Source organism: Homo sapiens, chromosome X (genome assembly GCF_000001405.40).
Source record: "Homo sapiens chromosome X, GRCh38.p14 Primary Assembly".
NCBI classification, from domain to species: domain Eukaryota; kingdom Metazoa; phylum Chordata; class Mammalia; order Primates; family Hominidae; genus Homo; species Homo sapiens.
In genome coordinates this window covers 53,646,938-53,665,269 of record NC_000023.11, presented here as the reverse complement: position 1 = coordinate 53,665,269, position 18,332 = coordinate 53,646,938, and the positions used below count along the sequence as shown (strand labels likewise).

Here is an 18,332-nt window from a genome sequence, read left to right as displayed (position 1 = left end):
TTATTATGACACTTTACTGTCAGTGCCCAGTAAAACCTAGGTCAGCAGTTCTCAGGGCACTTGAGAGTCATGTTTTATGTGGCTAAGGATAGGGAGACTGGTGTCTGTAGGAGAGGGGCGTAGCAAGGTGGGCTGTGCATATAGACATTATGTGCAATGTAGAGTTGTGGAACAGATTTGGGTTTGAATCCACGTTTTACCACTTAATAGGTATGTGGCCACTCTCAGTAAACTGGGCACAGTCTTCATCTCCAAGGATTAAAGATAATGCACAATAGGTATAGAGTAAGTGTTAGCTATTTTTTTATGATCATAAATGTTTTTCACAATATTTGTTGAGTGGATATTAATGTATTAATAGATAATCAGAAACTAGATAGGATGGAAAGGCCTGACAATTATGTGGTGTCCCCTTTAACAAATCATAATCAGTGACACCTATTCCTCTATAATCAAATAGTGAATAGCAGGCTGGATTTCAAGATGCATCTTACTGCTTGTTGACATGAAGAATGCTCAGGGCAGCTCTCACCTGAATTTACTTTCAGAGACTATAAGGCAAAAGGAAATCGTTGCAAGGCAAAAAATAAAGTATTTTGCTTTGTGGTACTTTGGAGTTTAGTTTTCTCTAAGCATTTTTTGTTTAAGAACTGCCGTAATGCTTCCATGATTTCTATGGGGATTTTAGGCTCATTTTGATTCATCCCCACTCCCGTACTTACGTGCAACATCTCTTACCTGCTAATAATCAACCAAAGTGCCTCCTGTGTGCCAAGCTCCAAACACCAGAAGATGTAGGGAAGAAGCTCCTAGAGTAGGCAGCAGCTAATCTAAGGCATTTGTTTAGATGGTGTTCTTAATCTGGTGCATGTCCTTTGGCTCAGGGGCCAGTGTTTTCTTCCTTAAGGAAAATTTTAGGCCTGGCACAGTGGCTAACGCCTGTAATCTCAGCACTTTGGGAGGCTGAGGCCAGGAGGATTGTTTTAACTCAGGACTTCGAGACCACCCTGGACAACATGGCGAAAACCCTGTCTGTACAAGAAATATAAAAATTAGCCAGGCGTGGTAGAGTGTGCCTGTGGTCCCAGCTACTCTGGAGGCTGAGGTGAGAGGATTGCTTGAGCCTGGGAGGTTGAGGCTGCAGTGAGCCAAGATCATGCCGCTGCACTCCAGCCTAGGTGACAGAATGAGACCCTGTTTCTTTAAAAAAACAAATTACAAAAGGAAATCTGATTATAAATGGATCCATGATTTATAGGAAATTTGGAAGGATTAGAAAAGCATGAAGCATAAATAAAACTATGTGTTACCCTGCCAGCTAGAGGCAACCATTAAAGGCCAACTACTAATAATGTGTATTTCTTCCCTTCCCAGGTTTTTTTTTTTTTTTAACTTTCCCACCCTGTGGCAGACATTTTCTCATAAATAGGGAAGTGATAGGTACAGAGTACAATGTAATCACATATGGTGGGATATCCAGTCAAGATTTGAGGGGTTCGGGAGAAGATTGTCCAAATTCTGGATATCATTCTGTTCAAACCTGCATAAGTGCTTATTATATTACAGTGAAATAGAGGCTAAATGGTCCCCTACCCCCAATTTTCAAAGGGATTCTTACAGTTACTCCGTCTTTTCAAGACAGTTTGCAGCCACTTGAGAACATAAGCTAGTGTCTTTATTTACCTTTTCCTCTACATTTCAGTGACCCCATAATTCTCTGCTTCCATTTACAGCCTATATATATATTTTTTCCCCCGAGATGGAGTTTCACTCTTGTTGCCCAGACTGGAGTGCAATGGTGCAATCTCGGCTCACTGCAACCTCCGCCTCCCGGGTTTAAGCGATTCTCCTGCCTCAGCCTCCGAAGTAGCTGGGATTACAGACATGCGCCACCACACCCGGCTAATTTTTTTGTATTTAGTAGAGACGGGGTTTCACCATGTTGGTCAGGCTGGTCTCAAACTCCTGACCTTGGGTGATCCACCCGCCTCGGCCTCCCAGAGTGCTGGGATTACAGGCGTGAGCTACTGCCCCTGGCCCAACATTTTCAGAAGAGGTTTTTACACATACCATTTATGCTTTCTCACTTTCCATTGATTCCCTGACTCTAGTCTGGCTTCCATTCCCTCCATCCCACTGAAACAATTGCTTGTCAAATTGTCTCTATTACCAATTTCAGTGGACATACCTCATTTTGACATTTGATGCAGTTGATCACTCTTGCCATCTTTCGTCTCTCGTGATAGCATAATTAGCTAGTTTTGCTCTTTCCTCACTAGCCTCTCCATTGCTGGGTTTTCCTTCTTTCCTTACCTTTACACTTTTATTGTATTGTATTTTTTTTGGTAGAGATGGGGTTTCACCATGTTGCCCAGGCTGGTCTCGTTTAAGGAATCTGCCCTCAGCCTCCCAAAGTGCTAAGATTATAGGCTTGAGCCATTGTACCCGGCCCCTTCTTTGCCTTACCTTTAAATGCTAGAGCAAATAACTCAGTTGCGGGCCTCCTCCTTTCCTTCTTTGTAAGCAGTCATCTCCAGACCCATGGCTTCAAGTAATATATGTGTGCTGACAATCACAGATTTTATTCTTAATGCATACGTCTTTCCTGAACTCCATTCTACAAATATTTGCATACCTATCATGTGGAAGATACCGTGCTAGGTACTGAGAGCTTAACATCTTAGAAAATCAAACCAGTAATTACAGTTGATACTTGTTATGAAGGAAATTGGAAATAAACTGGGTGCTATAATAGAAAAATTACAGTGGGACCAACTTGAGGTGGGTTGTCATGGAAAGCCTCTCTGGGTCTTAGTTTAAATGTCAGTTCCTCAAATGGAACTAGTTGTGGGAAAGGAGGGGTGGCAAAAACATTCCAGCGGCGAACTTAGAAATTAGAGTGTTCCAAGAACTAAATGGAAAGAATAATTACACAGTTGAGGAAACAAGCATAGAGAGGTGGATTTGTCTGCGGTTATGCAGTGAGTAAGTGATATAGCAGGGATTCTAGCCCAGGTTTTCTGAGTCTGTATTCTGATCTAGTGCTTCTCAAACTTTGTTATATGGATCACCTAAGGATCTTGTTAAAATGCGGGTTCTGACTCCTCATATCTAGGTGGGGCCTGAAATTCTGCAACTTTTAATAACTCCCAGGTGATGTCAGTGCTGCTGATCCTTGGACCACACTTGATTAGTAAGGCTAGTCTTTCACTACATCCAACTGCTCTTGAGCCAGATTTGGGAACTACAGGTGTCCTGTGCCCTTAAACTGATTCAGTATTGAAAGTCATTATTTTTAAATATTATCAACTGGAGGTGATTACTATAGAATATGAGTCACGCTTTGAGTGGCTTCCCTCAGGATATTTTAGTTGTGTACACTTGTTCTGCAGGTAAACTGTACAAAACCAAGATTCAAACCTCAGGGGTGTAAGGAAAGGTTGGGGGAATAAGGAAGTGAAAAAAAATATTAGATAAAAGTATTGAAGTAATGGTAATAGATATGGATGGTGATTCATAGTAATTCACTTGTTTTCTTTTAAGTTGGCTATCTTTCTAACCTAAGTTTAGGAAGCAATGTTTATTATATATAGAGATTGCTTGGTGCCCTGAGTTCTGGTTCTGACCCAACAAAGGCAGTAGGCCATTTCTAGGAATTTGTTTCAAACTAACTTATTTTTATGGAAGGATTTTTTTTTAAATGTAATAGGGTTTTCACCTGATTAACTTCTAAGAGGTAGAACTCATTCCCCAGTTACTGTTCCTTTCATTAGTGAAATTACAGCATCTCAGCTTCTCATCTTGGGCCCTAGTTTCCTCTCTTGGAGTAATTTTTTCAAACAAATAGGATTCAGCAGTCTAGAAGAATCTGTCACAAATTTTTATTCTTATCTGCCAATATTTTGTAGTAATAAAACTGGTTTTAAAAAAAGGTGAGGCTGGGTGCCGTGGCTCACGCCTGTAATCCCAGCACTTTGGGAAGCCGAGGCGGGCGGATCACAACGTCAGGAGATCGAGACCATCCTGGCTAACACAGTGAAACTCTGTCTCTACTAAAAATACAAAAAATTAGCTGGGTGTGGTGGCGGGCGCCTGTAGTCCCAGCTACTCGGGAGGCTGAGGCAGGAGAATGGCGTGAACCCGGGAGGCGGAGCTTGCAGTGAGCCGAGATTGCGCCACTGCACTCCAGCCTGGGCGACAGAGCAAGACTCCATCTCAAAAAAAAAAAAAAAAAAGTGAATCGCATGTTATTAAAGCATGGACTTGGTAGTCAGACCTGGATTTAGATCTTGGTGCTAACATTTACTGACCAAGAAAGGTACTTTTTTTCTCTCTTACTTCAGTTTTCTATCTGTAAATAGAGGCAAAACTTGACTTGAGTGGTGAGGACTGTATGAAAAAATATCATATGAATTCCCTAGGTAGCATGTCTCAAACTGTATTCTTTGGAATACTTCAATTGGACTTTGAGTAGATGCCACTTGAGAAAATGGTTCTGTGTGCTAATAAGCCTCCTTTACCTAAGATGTCTTAGAGCCATTAATAATGTCAATTAGCTATGTGACTGCCCTAGTGGAAGAGAAATTCTGTCTATAACATTTCCCAAATTACAGGATTCTTGTCTCCCTTTATAGAGCAAGACATTCTAACACACTTTGGGGAACTCCAGTCTCAGTATTGTCTGGCTTGTAATGGACACTCAGTATACTAACGTTCCCCCCTCCCACTGTTGAAACCAGTTTTAGAAATATGAGAACACAACAACTTCTAAATTTTTAAAGTTGATGTCTCATGGACAGTGATGTCTTGGTTTTTTAAACTACAAATGTTTCTTGCAGTAGAATTATAGACACCAAGGTAGGACTGCACTTGTTATGGGAACATTTGTGTGTGTGCATTCATATTGGCTCTGTTATTTTATTGGGTGCATCAAATGCTTACACTTGGGACTTAGAGTCTAGCGCCACTCATGCAAATAACCTGAGATGATTTAGAATTATGCCACCAGCATAGTTTCTAGGCATCCAGAGTCTTGTGTTGGCAGCAGAAGTACCCCAAGCTAAGCTGTTTCCGTGGGGGGTCTGGCTGTAGTTCCAGGCTCCCTAGCTTCCTTGGTTCCTCTTAGTTTTCTGCACGTGGAGCTCTAGCCTTCTGTCAGTTCTGTGAGCTATCAGATACTCTCCAGTAAATTACTTGGCTGCATTAATTATCCAGTCTTTCTGTAGTTACAGACACTTGACTAGTATAGTACACTAGGTCAAAACAGCATTAGAGCAAGTTGCTTATTTGTTTGAAGATTCATCAGTGACTCATCTGCATTAAAAAAGTAAAATGGTTGTGATTTGCTTATTTCAGTGCATAAGTTACTCTGTGCTCTTGTTTTGGAGGATTGTTTTTTTAAAATAGACTTTATTTTTAGAGTAGTTTTACATTCCCAGCAAAATCGAGCAGAAGGTACAGAAATTTCCCATATACTGCCTGCCTCCACACAGGCATAGCCTCCCTTGTTATCAACATCTCCCACTAGAGTGGTACACTTGTTACAATTGATTAATCTACATTGATACATCATTATCACTCAAAGGCCATAGTTAACATTAGGGTTTACTCATGGTGTATACTTTTGGGGTTTAGACACATAATAACATGTGTCCACCATTGTAGTATCATACAGAGTAGTTTCACTGGCCAAAAAATCCTCTGCGCTCCACCTCTTCATTCTTCCCTCCCCACTAACCCTCCTCAACCACTGATCTTTTTACTGTCTCTATAGTTTTTTCTTTTCTAGAATGTCATGTGGTTGGAATCATACAGTATGTAGCCTTTTTGTACTGATTTCTTTCACTTACTAATATGCATTTAGGTTTCCTCCATGTTTGTTCATGGCTTGATAGCTCGTTTCTTTTTAGTACTGAATAATACTCCATTGTCTGGATGTACCACAGTTTATCCATTCACCTACCAAAGGACATTGTGGTTTCTTCCAAGTTTTGACAATAGTGAATGAAGGTACTATAAACATCCATGTGCAGGTTTTTGTGTGGACATAAGTTTTCAACTCCTTTGGGTAAATACCAGGGAGTATTGATTGCTGGGTCATGTGGTAAGAGTAGTTTTGTAAGAAATTGCTGAACTGACTTCCAAAGTGGCTGTACTATTTTGCATTCCCACCAGCAATGAATGAATGTTCCACTTGCTCCACATCCTCACAAGCATTTGGTGTTGTCAGTGTTCTGGGTTTTGGCCGTAGTGATATATCATCATGGTTTTAATTTGCATTTCCATGATGCCGTATGATGTGGAGTATCTTTTCATATGTTTATTTGCCATCTGTCTGTCTGTGGTGAGGTGTATGTTAAGGTCTTTGGCCCATTGGCCCATTTTTAAATCAGCTTGTTTTCTTACTGTTGAGTTTTAAGAGTTCTTTGTGTATCTTGGGTAACAGTCCTTTGTATGTCTTTTGCAAATATTTTCTGTCAGTCTGGCTTGTCCACTTATTCTTTTGACAGTGTCTTTTACAGAGCAGAATATTTTACATTTAGGTCTGTGATCCATTTTGACTTAATTTTTGTGAAACATGTAATTTCGGTTTAGATTTTTTTTTTCGCATGTATGTATCGAGTTGTTCCAGCACCATTTGTTGAAAAAACTATCTTTTGTCCATTATATTGACTTTGCTTCTTTGTCAAAGATCATCGGTTGACAATATTTATGTGGGTCTACTTCTGGGCTCCCTAATTCTGTTCCATTGATTTGTTCATTCTTTTACCGGTACAGTACTCTTACTTACTGTTGTCTTATGATAAGACTTGATTTTGGGTAATGTAGGTCTTCTGACTTTGTTCTTCTCCTTTGATATTGTGTTGGCTATCGTGGATCTTTTGCCTCTTCATATAAATTTTAGAATCAGTTTGTCAGTATTCATATAACTTGTTGAAATTTTAATTGGAGTTGCATTGAATCTGTGGAGTTGGAAATGACTTAACATTTTGGCAGTATTGAATCTTCCTATCCATGGACTTGGAATATCTCTCCATTTAATTGTTCTTTGATTTCTTTCATCAGAATTTTATAGTCTTCCTTGTATAGACCTTATACATATTTTGTTAGATTTATATCTAAGTTTTTCAGTTTTGGGGTGCTAATATAAATGTTTTTTATTTCAAATTCTGCTTGTTCGTTGCTGGTATATAGGAAAGCAATTGACTTTTTTTTTTTTTGAGACGGAGTCTTGCTTTGTCGCCCCAGGCTGGAGTGCAGTGGCGCCATCTCAGCTCACTGCAAGCTCAGCCTCCCAGGCTCATGCCATTCTCCTGCCTCAGCCTCCCGAGTAGTTGGGACTACAGGCGCCCGCCACCACGCCTGGCTAATTTTTTGTGTTTTTAGTAGAGACGGGGTTTCACCGTGTTAGCCAGGATGGTCTCGATCTCCTGACCTTGTGATCCGCCCGCCTCAGCCTCCCAAAGTGCTGGGATTGCAGACCTGAGCCACCGTGCCTGGCCAGCAATTGACTTTTGTATATTAACCTTATATCCTGCAAACTTGGTGCAATTGCTTGTTAGCTCCAGGGTGTTTTTCCTTATTTCAGATTTTCTGCATGTATGATCATGTCATCTCTGACAAAAAGACAGTTCTGTATCTTCCTTCCCAATCTTTATAATTTTTATTTCCTTTACTGCTTTAGCTAGGACTTTCAATACAGTGTTGGAAAGCAGTGGTAAGAGAGGACATCTTTTTCTTTTTTGAGACGGAGTCTCACTCTGTCGCCCAGGCTGGAATGCAGTGGCGCGATCTCAGCTCACTGCGATCTCTGCCTCCTGGATTCAAGCAATTCTCCTGCCTCAGCCTCCTGAGTAGCTGGGATTAAGGGGTTTTGCCATGTTGGCCAGGCTGGTCTTGAACTCCTTACCTCAAATGATCTGCCCACCTAGGCCTCCCAAAGTGTTGGGATTACAGGCATGAGCCACTGCGCCTGGCCTTTTTTGTTTGTGATTATTTAAGGGGGAATGCTCCTAGTTCCTGACCATTAAGATATTAGTTGTAGCTTTTTTTGTAGATATTTTAATCAATTTGAAGAAGTTCTCTATTCCTAGTTTACTGAGATTGTTTGACTTTTCACTGTTGAATTTTGAGAGTTCTTTATGTATTTTAGATACTATATATGGTTTGCAAATATTTTCTCCTAGTAAATTTTATTGTCCTATATTTAAGTGATTCATTTTGAGTTAATTTTTTATATAAAGTGTGAGGCTTAGGTCGAAGTTCATCTTTTTTGCCTGTGCATGTCTGCTTTCTCTGGCACCATTTGTTGATAAAACTATCTTTCCTTGACTGAATTGTTTTTTTTTTTAACCTTTGTCAAAAATCAGTTGGGCATATTTGTATGAGTCTATTTCTGGGTTCTCTATTCTGCTCTATTGATACTTGTATATATATCAGTACTACTTGATGTCTGTAGCTATATAGTAAGTCTTAAAAGTGGGTAGGGTAATTCAATTCCTCCCTCTTTTATTTTTTTCCAAAATTGTTTCAGCCATTGTTGTTCTTATACAACATATACACTTTAGAATAATCTCAGCTTATTTACAAAAAAACATCTTGCTGGGATTTGAATAGGAATTATATTAAACCTATATAACAATTTTAGGAGATTTGACATCTTTACTAGAGTCTTAGATCTCTCCATGTATTTAGAGCTTTGATTTTTCTTTTTTTTTTTTTTTTTTTGAGACTGGAGTCTCGCTCTGTCACCCAGGCTGGAGTGCAGTGGCACTATCTCGGCTCACTGCAAGCTCTGCCTCCCGGGTTCATGCCATTCTCCTGCCTCAGCCTCCTGAGTAGCTGGGACTACAGGTGCTCGCCACCACGCCTGGCTAATTTATTTTTTTTTATTTTGAGATGGAGTCTCGCTCTGTCGCCAGGCTGGAGTGCAACGGTACAATCTAGGCTCACTGCAACCTCCGCCTCCTAGTTTCAAGCAATTCTTCTGCCTCAGCCTCCCAAGTAGCTGGGATTACAGGCTTGTCCTTCCACGCCCGGCTACTTTTTTTGTATTTTTAGTAGAGACGGGGTTTTACCGTGTTAGCCAGGATGGTCTCCATCTCCTGACCTCATGATCCGCCCGCCTCAGCCTCCCAAAGTGCTGGGATTACAGGTGTGAGCCACTGCGCCTGCCTGGCCTTTGTTTTTTTAAGATGGAGTCTCGCTCTGTTGCCCAGGCTGGAGTGCAGTGAGCCACTGCGCCCATCCTCTGGGAGGCTTTTAAAATAGATTTCTTGGGTTTTCTATGTGGATGATCCTTTGACATCTGCAAATAGGGACCATTTTTATTTTTTCTTTTCTTATCTGTGTGCCTGTTATTTCTTTTTCTTACTGTATTATATTGGCTAGAACTTTCAGCAGTATGTTGAATAAAAGTCATGATAACAGACATCTTTGCCTTGTTCCTAATCTTAGAGGGAAAGCATCAGTTATTTGAGTTGTATTGAGGCTGGCTGCTACGTCTTGCAGCAGGGGCAGTTTAATAGCCTCCCTGCAAATGACTGAAGCGACAATAGTGTGACAGCCACTTGCGTAAGACGTTTATGAGAAAAGGGGAGGAAAAAAGCCTTGAGAGTAAGCGTACAAATAGCTCAGCTTATAGTTTCCACCACATGGACAGGATTGTTGCCAGAATCCTGTTGGCTTCATTTGAGATATTTTGAGGTTGTTGGCATCAGGCATTTTGTTCATTTTGTATTGATACTGAGATAACTTTTTAAAAAGTAATCTGGAATTACACACCCTAAATATCAACCATAGAAAACATTTTTTCTTCTTAAGGAATGGTCTCTGCAGAAATGTTTTAGAACGTATTCTGAATTTTTCACAAACTCTTCCTTGAATGCCTGCTGATTGAATGGATACAGGTCGTACAGGCAAATACACGCTATTTCCATAGTACTGAGTATATTGGACTAAATCTAGGCAAAAAGCTGCCTAAAATTTATACTGTAATTGGTCAGCTTTATATTATGGCAGCCTTCTCGGGGGAGGAACATTGATTTCTAGTGACTGCCACTGAGTTAAATACATTGTTAATAGCAGAATCTTTTGTGTGTAAAGAGCCTGCAACCCACTTCTACCTCTGTGCATGTGTCTTAGTTGCTAACAGGAGAAACTTATTTCTTCTTGTGCTTTGGAGGACTTGTCTGCCATCAAAGATCTAGGGATTATACAGTGGATCTGATCAGGCTGTTGTCTGCTTTTGAGCCTTCCAAATTACATGGCTTAATAAAATGATTGTTTTCTGTGCTCAGAATATTTCTGTTGTGATCCTTATACTTCATTTTCTAGTTGAAAAAAGTGTTGTTTTGCCTTTGCTCTTATGATACAACTAATACATTTTTATTGGTAGGAACAGTAAAAGGTGCATAGGTAAAACAGTCATACTTAATCCTTTTGGTTAACAATGAATTAATATTCTGATGCCTAGCACCTCTAAGCTGTTTTCTTTAGACATAAGTTTTATACCGTATGTTCTGTGTTGTAATCTTTTTATTTCATCATGAACATCTTTGTGTATTACATAGTTTGCAATATTTTTAACAGTTGTGTGACATTCCATTTTAAACCAGTCGTATTTTGGACATTTGATCTTTTTTTTAGCCTTGTGATGGAACAGTAGGTCTTTTTCAGTCTTTTACTATTATACATGGTCATGCAGTATGGATTCTTGTGGTTAAATATTTGTGTACATCTTTACGACTTTCTTTGGATTAATTCCTAGAAATGGAAGTTATCAGGGAACTGCAGGGCTATGGTGAATTTTTCCATCCTGAGATGTGTTGCAAACATTGTACACTCTTATTTTCAATTAAGAGTTTGAGATGCTTGTAAAAGAGAAAAAATTTTCATTTTGACCTGATTTGGTTTCAGTCTTGTGCAACATAGGGATGTGGGCCAGTTTGATCTGGAGAGATTCTTTACCTCTCTCTACCTGATAGCTGTGCCTCTGAGTTGGCATAGCATCATAACTCCAGTGTTTTTACTTTAAGCATTTTGCATTGCTCTTCATTCTGTATTGTCTGTGTCCAAGCTTGTAGAGCTCAAGATTGTAGCTTTAAGTTCTCACTTCTTTTGGGATTTTCTTTTTTCAGATCGTAAAGCTGAAAATTGAAATCATGAAAGTAGACAGGACTAAACTGAAGAAGACACCTACTGAGGCTGTAAGTATCCAAAAGTTTACTTTGCTTATTTTTTCTTCATTAAAAAATAAAAAAATATTTGTGAACAGTTCATCCATGCTCTTCAAATCTCATCACCCATATATACAAAAGGCAGTAAAACAACAACTTGTCTAGAAACAGTAAGATTTTCTTTTGAACTTCCCTGGATCAAAAAAATGGATAGCCAAGAGACCAGTGGAAAGTGAACACCGATCAGTTAGTTCTTCGTAGCTGTGTGTGCCTGAAGTCAGCTCTCAGGCTGCTGTGCAATTCCTTCCTATGCAGAAAGGATGTGTGGTATAATGGAAAGAGCAGATATGGGTTCAGATTTTTAATGTACTTCTGGGATCTTGCAATTTTGTTTTTTAGAAAATGAAAGTGGTAACATCTTTCTTACTAGTTTTTTTGTTAAGGCCAGTGTTTTAGCTTGTCTTTATTACTGATTCTTAATCACACAATTCAGCTTAACTTGTGTATTGGGTGGTCATATCAATTAACCCTTTGTCGACAGTAGAAATCCCAGCTTTAATCTAGTAATATTCCACCAGCTAGCTTGAACTGCTTTCTAAGGTTGAGGAAGTGGTATTGCATTGTGATAGTCCTGTTGACCCCTTGTGCTTAGTTCAGAGAGCACAAGCTTTGAAATTAGACCTAGGTTTGAATCTTACCAGACTTTTGTGGCTGAGAGGTTATTAACTTGCCTGGTTTCCACAGCTGCAAAATGGGGCTGAAAATTTTTTCCTTCTTGATGTGAGGCAATTGCTTAGCATAGTATCTGGCACATAAGTTAGTTCATATCGTAAATACAAGCCACTTGGTTTTCAAAAAATGTAAAAGTACCTGGCAAGTATCACCAAAAGATAACAATAACATTTTGCTGCATTTCTTCCAGTTTTTTTTGTTTGTTTGTTTGTTTTGAGACAGGGTTTTGCTCTGTCACACAGGCTGGAGTGCAGTGGCACGATCACAGCTCACTGCAGCCTTGACCTCCCAGCTCAAGCGATGCTCCCACCTCAGCTTCCTGAGTAGCTGGGACCATAGGTGCATGCCACCATGCCTGGCTAATTTTTTATTTTGTGTAGAGACAGGATCTTGCCTTGTTGCCCAGGCTTCTTCCAGTCTTTTAAAAAATTATTACATGTGCACACACAATTATCCTGCCCTTTTCATTTAGCATTGTACTAATGAGTATGAGCAGCACTTTCTTCATATACCCTTGTCAGTATTACAGATTGTCTTTTAAATTTTTGTTAATTTCATAAGTGGGGAAGAAAGTATTTCACTGTTCTATATCAGTTATCTTCTTGTGCCATTCATTTTGTATCTGACATTGGAATATCAGTGTTTCTCTTACTGAATGCCATATATATTGAACGTACTCATTTTCATATCTGTTGGAAATATCTTCATTTGCTTTTGATTTTGTTTTTGATGTGTTTTGGCATCTAGAAGTTTTGACAACTGTGTACTTGAATGTCTTTTACTAAAGGACAAAAAGAAAACTTGCTTAAGAAACTATAATTTAAAAATTTAAAGTGGAACCAATGTAAGAATCTACTGCTACGAGAATAGAAGACCTAGAAAAGTGATCCTAGTGTATATAAGAACTAGATATATGGTAATAGAGGGATTATAAATTGGAAAGAAGGGACAGTATTAGGAAACCATGCTAGAATGATTATCTTGTAGAGCATGTGGGACTATTATATTGCGATAAATTTTAGATAAACCAAAAGTCAAATGTTTTTAAAAGAAATAAGCTATAGGAGAAGTAGAACATGTAGGTGAATGTTTACTTTGTCTTAAGTGGGCATGGTCTTTCCAAGCATTAAAACAAAGGAAAAAAACCATAATGGAAATGTTAAATACTGTATCCAAAATTAAAAAGACATGACAATAGCCATCCTAATAGGTGTGAAGTAATATCTCATTGTGGTTTTGATTTGCATTCCCTTGATTTCCTTGATAGGGAGCACCTTTTTATATATTTTAAAACTATTTGTATGTAAATAGACATCTGGATAAATGTCTATTCAAGACCCTTGCCCGTTTTTAAATTGTGTTATTTGGGATTTTTTTGCTATTGAGTTGCAGGAGTTCCTTATATATTTTGGAAATTAATCCCTGGAAGACATTAGGCAAAGTGAAATAAGTCAGCCGCAGAGGGACAAATAGTGCATGAATCCTCTTATATGAGGCATCTAAAATAGTCAAAGGTGTAAAGGTAGGCAGTAGAATGATAGTTACCAGGAAATGGTGGGAGAGAGAAGGGGGAGTTGCTGCTCAGTGGGTATAAAATTATACCAGGCAAGTTCGTTCCAGAGATCTGCTGTAGAACAACATAGTGCCTATAGTTAACAGTCAGGTATTGAGTATAGTCTGCCCTCCGTGTGTGGGTTCCACATTTGCAGATGGAACCAACTGGATAGTAAATATTTGGGGGAAAAAACAATAAAAAAGAACAATACAAAAGTAAAAATAGAAATTTTGAAGCAATGCAGTGTAACAGCTATTTACATCGAATTCAGTATTGTAATACTAGAGATGGTTTAAAGTATATAGGAGGATGTGTATAGGTTATATACAAATACCATTGCCATTTTATACAAAGGATGAGCAGCATAGATTTTGGTATTCATGGGGGTCCTAGAATCAATCCCCAGTGGATACAGAGGGACTACTCTACTTAAAAATTTGTTACGAGGGTAGATCTCACGTTAAGTATTCTTACCACACACAATCATGCACACACACGTAGGGACACAAGGAAACTTGGAGGTGATGGATATGTTTATTACCTGGATTGTGGTGATGGCAACGTGAGTGTATACATACATCCAAACTCACCCAGTTGTATGCATGAATTACGTGCAGTTTTTTTGTATACCATTTACCCCTTAATAAGCTCAGGTGGGGTGGGGGAGGGGGAAGACACATGACAAGCTGGGGAAAATATTTGTAACCCAGTGTAGTTAATATTTTCAGTAGCTAAATCAGGAGAAATTAATATCCCAATGACAAAATGGGCATAGGGCATTTAAGAAAAGAACAAACCCAGTAAACGTCCAGCAAGATTCAACTTAGCGGGTAATTGGAGAAATGCAAATTAAAAAACAATTTTTAACCTAGTGGATTGTAAGGGGTTGCTCTTGGAGTCATATACTGATTTCTGGCTCTTATTTCCTAGTTACTAGCAAGTTACTTAGCATAAACTCCTAGAAGTGGAATTTTTATGTCACTGGTTATGGACATTTTTAAGACTTGAGTTGTCTATTTTCCTTGAGCAGCATACATGATTGCCCCCATTTCCCATACTGTGGTCAATGCTAGGTACTATTATGAAAGGCTTTTATTGATCACTTTGTGTATCAGTAGCTGTGCAAAGGATTTTTTCCCCAGATTTGGTATCTATTGAAATAAATCACTGTAAACCCTGGCAATTGTTATTGAGCTATCGAACTGGCAAATGCTTTCTTATATCTTAACGTTGTGCTTGCTGCTTTCTCCTGCAAAATGCAAGGGACCTTGATAGTCTGATAAAACAGAGACCATAGTACTGGTACATTAAATTGATGCCATTATGCTAACTGGATCTTGTGAGCAGAAAACACAAGCACACCTTAGATGCCTCAGACATATTTGTGCCAGAGAGTCAGAAACAAACCTTGTGGAAGCTTGAGGGCCTTTTCACATTAGGAAAGTTTCTAGTGGCCCCAGGGTTTGGGAAATATTGGGATATCCCTTCTAAAGTGAGAGGGAAGTTGCTGTACCTTGTACCACACACTGTGAAGAAAGAGGAACAATGTGTGATGCGTTTGGATTTTGGAGCCAACATATTGGTTGGTCACATTTAGGCATGCTATTTTGACCTATTTACTGGATAACCTCTAACACATTTAGTGGGGAACCACTAAAGTGTTAGTAAGGTTTGGATCTAGAAAAGACTCTGCAAAAGGTCCAGGCTATGATACAAGTTGCCCTATCACTTGGACATTATGACCTAGTAGACCCAGGTGACTGACTTAGGTGTCAGCTAAAGATGCCATGTTGTGCTTTTGGCAAGCCCCAATAGAATTACAAGTAAGACCCCTAGATTCTTGGCTGTGCTGTCCTCTGCCACCAGCTATTCTACATTCACAAAAGCAGCTTCTGGCTTGCTACTGGGCCTTGGTAAAGACTGAATGCCTGGTTATGGGACATACCAAATTATTACAGGATCCAAATGTTCATCATGAACTGCATCTTACCTACACATCGTAAAATTGGATTTGTACAGCTGCATTCCATTAGAAATAGAAGTAACACGTTTGATGCTGGACCCAAGTAGGTCCAGCAGGCACAAGTGAACTGCATAAGCAGGTGGTTCAAATTTCCATGTTATCTATTTCTGCTGCTTCACTGCCTCTCCCTCAACTTACATCTTAGAGGAGAAGAGGAAAAAGTGCAGGCCTGGTTTATGGAAGGATTTTGTGCCAAGGATTTTACATATATTTAATTACCATGAACATTTGAGGTAGATCTTAATAATGCTTAGAGGGAGAAAAGGTTTGGACTTAGCTTAAAGAAACCCCTGTTAGGTTCCATGTTGTTTCAGATGCCGAAAATACGTTTCTCCCAGTTTGAATCTCACGACAGCATTGCTGGATATATAGGTACATGTTAGTTTATTTTGCAGAAGAGGATGCTGAGATTCAAAGAGGTAGCTTACCAACTACCTGATTCCAAGGGTCATACTCTTTTTAATAGTATGCTGTCTCTGAATATTTAAGCTCCTGTAATGGGAGATAAGTATTTTATGTATGTGGCAGACGTTTGAGTTTCATATTTGTGAGGTAGCTATTAGGTCTGTTTTTCTGATAAGAGAGCTGTGGCTTAGAGGTTAGACTTGCTCATGATCAAACAGCTTAGTAAACATGAAGTTAAAAAGTGAATCCAGACTTGTTTGGTTCCAGACCTCTGGTCCATTCCCAGGATGCTGTACTGCCTTTATGGAGTTAAAGAACAAGTGTAATAATCACTTCTCCCAGCTGCCATTCATTAACGGAAGGCTTCTCTCTCCCAGCCCCTATCCCTTTCCCTCCTTCCACTTTCAGAAACTTGACTATAAATGCTCAATCCACTCCTTGTTACCTGACAAATGGACCCATTCATCAGTAGAAGAGAGCAGAAATGTATGGAAATAGGAACCCCAAGAAAGAATGGAGTCCTAGTTTTACGAAGTTCGGAAGCTGTTTACCATCTTACAAGTGAAGGATTTTATGTAACAGAAAAATATAGCTAGTGCTAATCTTCACCTTTAATTGTGAATTCACTAGGACTTTTCAGTCTCTGATTCAATATAACCTACCAGGCATTCTGGTTAACTTTCAGACCATGGTATAGATTCCTTAATTGTTTTTTTTTTTTTTTTAGATGTTTAACTTATTATTGTTTTTGTTGTCAGCACCTTTCCAAATAGTTTGTCTGCATCTACCTTTATCCAAATCCAAGGTGGGTTTTTGTTTTGTTTTTTGTTTTTTTTTGTTTTTTTTTGTTTTTTAAGCCCAGGTGGATTGTTGGGGGAATAAAAGCATTTTCTCATGAGGTTTCCATTTTAATCCCAAGAGATTGTCTGGCACATCTCGTTTTCTTAAGTAGTAAATCCTAGCAAAAGGAAAATTGCTGTGTGAGCTTAAGGGTTCCTTTTCTGATTCTCCTTATTTGCAACTCCCTCATTCCAAAACATCTTTTGTGAATACTTTTCTTTTCTCAGCCTGCAGACTGCAGAGCCTTAATAGACAAACTCAAAGTTTGTAATGATGAGCAACTTCTCTTGGAACTGCAGCAGATCAAAACATGGAACATTGGAAAGGTATGTGAAGTCAAGCTCCCAAAAGACAGGACTCACCATACTAATACATCATTTTGTATGCTCTGATATGGAATAAGAAACCACAATGGGATAGCCTCATTCAGCAATTAATAAGCATCTAGCATGTGCCATGTGCCTAACACAGCTTTAAACCAGTGGCAAGGAAAATTTTGCTGGCTGAGGATGGAGAATTGATTTCACAGGTGATGCTTAAGAATCTCAATCACAGAATTCCTGTGGTTTGACAATATAAGTTTGAGATAATTTCTGGATTTTTAGTTTAGAAGAATTTTTATTAGATAACTCTAAAAATGAATTTTTCTGATAAAATGGATTCTGGCAAGGATAGTTCTCTTGTCTTCGTAGATCTTAGAATGTAACCGGAGTTCTCCATCTAAAGACCTAGCTCTAGGGGTTTTATGGTGTCTATTGGTGTTAGCACATATATCTAGATGGGTATGACAATGAACTACAGCACTTTTAGCTCAGAGTATGATCTTTCTCATATGGGCAAGGGTGGGACGTGAACTTGTCTAGGTGTCATGCTCAGCAATCTCTTGTAACAAAGCTCAGTTAGAAAGCACCCATGCGGCGCTTCTACCTTATTCTTACATCCTCTTTTTCCTCCCCTCTCCAGTGCGAGTTATATCACTGGGTGGACCTGTTGGACCGCTTCGATGGAATACTGGCAGATGCTGGACAGACAGTGGAGAATATGTCATGGATGCTCGTATGTGATAGGCCAGAAAGAGAGCAACTGAAAATGCTTCTCTTGGCTGTGTTGAACTTCACAGCCTTGCTCATTGAGTACAGCTTTTCCCGGCATCTGTACAGTTCCATAGAGGTAGGGGAGGTTAAAGCCTGTGTACCCTGTTCTTGACTAGAATTGTGTACATCCAGAAATAAGGAAATTGCTATTTCTATTGCTTCTTTCCTTTTCATTGTGGAGCTCTGGGTTTTTCATTGTCAAAGATAATAGTAGAATGTTTCTTGGATATAGATACTATCCTTCATAGGGTTGATGGGAAGATTCTGTACTATCACCTTTGCTTTGCCTTTTCAAGATTCAAGAAATGAATGAGAAATGTTATATATGTATTAAAGTATTTAAGGAAATTTGCATGAATTGATTTTTGCCCTAGGTTGTTAGAGCAGCCCCACATTACTTTTAAATTCCTAGAAATAGTTTGATTTTCTCATCACATTAATGTACTTACTACTCCTCTAAGTGTTAGTGTGCTGCTTTAAAGTCTCTCTGTACTCTGCCACACCCA

General features: G+C 39.1%; 1 protein-coding gene across 50 annotated transcripts in view; it reads left to right on the top strand.

Annotated features, from left to right (window-relative positions):
* Positions 1 to 18,332, top strand: part of HUWE1 (HECT, UBA and WWE domain containing E3 ubiquitin protein ligase 1) — a 154,624-nt gene that overhangs the window by 21,450 nt on the left and 114,842 nt on the right. For all 50 annotated transcript variants that reach the window (NM_001441048.1, NM_001441051.1, XM_047441751.1 and 47 more), the window contains 3 exons: positions 11,139 to 11,207; positions 16,960 to 17,058; positions 17,696 to 17,902. In NM_001441048.1, the coding sequence (NP_001427977.1) occupies positions 11,163 to 11,207; positions 16,960 to 17,058; positions 17,696 to 17,902 (351 nt within the window). In that variant the 5' untranslated portion in view covers positions 11,139 to 11,162. The remainder of the gene's footprint in view (positions 1 to 11,138; positions 11,208 to 16,959; positions 17,059 to 17,695; positions 17,903 to 18,332) is intronic.